Raw genomic sequence first — 4,391 nt, 5'->3', positions numbered from 1 at the left:
CCATTTCAGAGGACAAGGTCTCAATATTTCACCATTAAATGTGAGCATATTGTGATATTTATTTGTATAGTTTTATTTTCACTTTTTTGAGGCAGAATCTCACTCCGTCACCCAGGCTGGAGTGCGGTGGCATGATCTAGGCTCACTGCAACCTCTGCCTCCTGGGTTCAAGTGATTCTCCTGCCTCAGCCTCCCGAGTGGCTGGGACTACAGGCGTACACCACCATGCCTGGCTAATTTTTATATATTTAGTAGAGATGGGGTTTCACTATGTTGGCCCGGCTGGAACTCCAGACCTCAGGTGATCCACCTGCCTCAGCTTCCCAAAGTGCTGGGATTACAGGTGTGAGCCACTGTGCCCTGCCTGATTTTTAAATAATATTCTTTTGGGGCCGGGCGCGGTGGCTCATGCCTGTAATCCCAGCAATTTGGGAGGCTGAGGTGGGCGGATCATAAGGTCAGGAGATCGAGACCATCCTGGCTAACACAGTGAAACCCTGTCTCTATTAAAAATACAAAAATATTAGCCGGGCAGGGTGGTAGCCTGTAGTCCCAGCTACTTGGGAGGCTGAGGCAGGAGAATGGCGTGAACCTGGGAGACAGAGCTTGCAGTGAGCTGAGATCACGCCACTGCACTCCAGCCGGGGTGACAGAGTGAGACAGTCTCAAAATAATAATAATAATAATAAATAAATATAATAATAATATTCTTTTTACTGTACGTATTTAAGGTGTACAATGGGATGTTTTGCTATATTCATAATAGTGAAATGAGCGCTGTCATCAAGCAAATTAACATATCTATCATCTTGCATTGTTACTTTTTTTACTTTTTTTTCATGGTAACCGAAACTAAAATCTGCTGTGGGCAAATTTTCAGTATTCAATAAGATATTATACCTCTGGCTGTCAGCTGTATCTTCCGTCTCTGGACTTCTTCATCCTACACATCTGCAGCTTTGCACCCTTTGATCCACACCTCTCCATTTCCTGCCCCTACACCCTCCCCTGAGAACCCCACTTTATTCTCTATGTATTCAACTTTTTTTTTTTTTTTTTTTTTTTTTTTTTTTTTTTTTTTTTTTTTTTAAGATTCCACATATAAGTGCGATCCTGCAGTATTTGTCTTTCTCCGTCTGGCTTATTTCATTTAGCATAATGTCCACACACTTCATTATCCTTTTTCTTTGAGGAATTCAAAAGATGAAATAATTCCACAATCAAATGATTTATCTTGAATTTGAAAGTCTGCAAATAGAGAAAGCTTGTGACCCAGAGGGAAAAAGTAGATTTGGGTATGAAATATAGTCTCTACTCAAGTATATTTTTCTCTTCTAAATAATAAACCCTGTTTTGAGCAATTGTGTTATGTTTATAACATATTAAAATGAAAAATGCTTCTATGCATTTCTCTTAAAAAAATCTTATTTGTGTAGGCCAGAAGATGCCTACATCTAGCTTCATCCTGCCTTCCTAACTTGAAAAGTTATCTTCCAAGCCCATCAGGGAAGAGTCTACCAGTTTCCTCCCTCACTTACTGAAGAGAATGTGCCTGTAACTCAAGCTGTTTGCAAATCGTTACTAAAGCTTCATGGGGCTCCCAGGAGACATCAGGATAGGATAAGGCGCTCATGCCCTGAAACCAAGTCTGCTCATGGCACTGGCTGCGTAACTATCACGCGCTGGGCCCCAGATAAGCTTATTTGTTTGGTTCCTCAAAATTTTAGTTTGAGCTCAGTGGAATTGATTTGTCGGTAAACTTTCTGAGAGGATATTTTACAGCAAGGAAGACCAGCCACCCTTGTAGGGCCTCTCCCTGCTACCCCGTGGGGAGCTGGCTTGACCTTTGACCTACATCTGACACACGTGTTAACATGCCCTCGTAGTTGGTTATTGTATGTCGATTTGGTGTTATTTGTCCCCCCAGGGTTTATGATCAGCTCTTCTATGCAGACAGAGCCCCTGTCACACACACATGGCTGTGCTGGGCACGGCGGGGTCTTAGGAGTGAAAGTGCATTCCAGACTCTGTCCCGCCAGAGCTGTACTCCAGCGGGGAGCATCTCCTATAACACACAGGTAAAAGCAAAGAAAGAATGACATGTTAAATTTCCTGTCATTGCCTTTGAGGGCAAACATTCGTTGAGGGACCAGAAAGAGTAGTCAGGAAATAGGTGAAGGAGAGATGTGTGAGCTTGAAGGAGACCATAGATCACACCCAAAGGCACTGACAGGTGTGTGGGCAGGTACCTACTGGGACGGAGAAAGTAAGACTGTCTTAATCAAGGACTGCCTGGACGCATCTCTCAGGCGTTTGCCGTCAGCACATCCTGCCAATTCTGCCTTCAAAATCAACCTCAGGCAGCCAGTCCTCACCGTCATCACCACTCGTGCCGAGTCATGGCCCTTGTGGCCCATGAGGTGCAGCCTCCTTGTGGCTGTCCTTGTGTCCCCCCATCCTTACCCCACTCTATGCCCTGCCTGTCAACCCAAATTTGCCCCATTGAGATCGCCCAAGGCTTTCCACACATCAAAGGCAAACCAGAGCCCTTCCCATGCCCCTGGGCCTTGGGATCTGCCATCGGCTATTCCCTGTTCCCTGCTTTCTAGGCTCACGGCCCCTCTTGGGGTTCCTCAAACACTCCAGCGTGGCCCCTATTCCAGGCTTTGGAGCTGGTGGTCGCCCTCCTTGGAGGAATTTCACAAGACTCACTTCACTGGTCACCAAGGTCTCTACTAAAACATCATCAAGGTCCCTGCTGAAACAACACTCTCCCTAGAGGCCGTCCTGTACCACTCTGCCCTCATCTCTCTCAGACCCTCCCCGGCCTAATCTCTTCCTAGCGCTTAACATCTGGGGCCCCATGGGAGCACTTTGTTTTTCTTGCTGGCTGCACTGTGTCTAGAGTCTGGCCCATGGCAGATGCTTGCTAAATATTTGCTGAATAAATGCATGGATTTGCGAGTTGCCATCCACAATGGTAAATTCAGCCCTTCAAAGATGCTCAGCGCTCTGGTCCCCACAGCAGCGGTTAAACCCCTTTAAGCAGTGCTGTGTGCAGAAGCCTCTTGGGATGCAGAGGCCTCCGAGGAAGGAAACATGACGTGTCTTTTGTGGAGCGCAGGCTGTGATGAGCATCTTCAGGCTCCCCATCTTTTGTCTGCAGGAGTAGCTGCAGAATTGAACTTGGGGGCTCAGTTACAGGGAGGGACAGAAACCCCCACCAGAGAGTATGTCTGCCCTCTTGACGGTCACATGCTCAGCACTGGGCAGAGCCTACCCCTTCTTTCAAGTAAAAGGAGCGGCTGTGTTCCGATCACTCCCTGATGCAAAGCTTCTGAAAAGGTTTGCTCACCTTACTGACTAATTAAAGGGAAGCCACATTTTTCCCTCCCTGGTCTCTGCAGCCATACCACCAAGGGCTATTTGATAGGCCCACGGCAGCTTGGGTTACACAGATGCCCGCGATAATGCCATTTGCTGCGATGATTGAGTCGACAAGGCTGAGTGACTTGGGGAAAATATTCCCCGATTGGACTAACCTGTTGGCGGCCTGCTTACCATCACACTTGTTTTTATAATGAAAAAGGAAATTATTTCTGCTTTTAATGATGGCAGCTCCAGAAATGGTGAGTAAAATGGGTGTGAGGAGAGAAGATGCTTCTCAACACTTCTCAGTGTTGTACAGCTTGCCAACCACAGCCTGTTTGGGAGGGGATGTTCTCACCCAGGTTCCATCTTTCAGAAGCCATTTGCCCACTTATTCTTTTTATATGGATAAACGATGTAATTTGCTACATGCTGATAATAAACAGAGGTATCAGCAAGAATGAAAGCCAGAAAATGGCCCAACATGAACTTCTTGCTTTTCTAAGTTACTCTTTCAAGCTCTTCTTGCGATAGAAATGAAATGAACATTTTTGGCACAGAACTCTTGTTTAGATTTTACTATGATCTTGGGAAACACGGGTTGCTTCAAATGGCTTACTAGATCCCTTTGGAATTTCAAACGTTACAACAGGTAGTCACAAAGGGAATGAAAGCGGATGATCTGAGTGTCTGTGCTGATGTGCCTGCTGGAGCCCCTGTGGATTTTAGCCCTTGGAGGAAGCAGGTTCCCAGAGCAGCCATGCCTGATATCTGGGAGAGGGAACTAGAATTTAATTGGGAATCTTCTGCTATTTCCCTGCTTCCTCCGCCCTCTCAGAGTTACAGGGAATGACTTAGAAAGGTCTCTGGTCTCCTTGGCATTGTGATAGGTGGAATTCTTTCGTAGGAAACACAGCCCCGGGGTTATTTTGATGCAAGCCGTTGGTCCAAAGCCACTCCCCACTTTGCTATGTGGGGGAAGGACCGGGCACCGGACGGCTCGGGTACTTTCGTTCTTAATT

The sequence above is a fragment of the Homo sapiens genome, chromosome 21 (assembly GCF_000001405.40).
Source record: "Homo sapiens chromosome 21, GRCh38.p14 Primary Assembly".
Classification (NCBI taxonomy): Eukaryota; Metazoa; Chordata; class Mammalia; order Primates; family Hominidae; genus Homo; species Homo sapiens.
Note: the sequence above shows the minus strand (reverse complement) of the source record.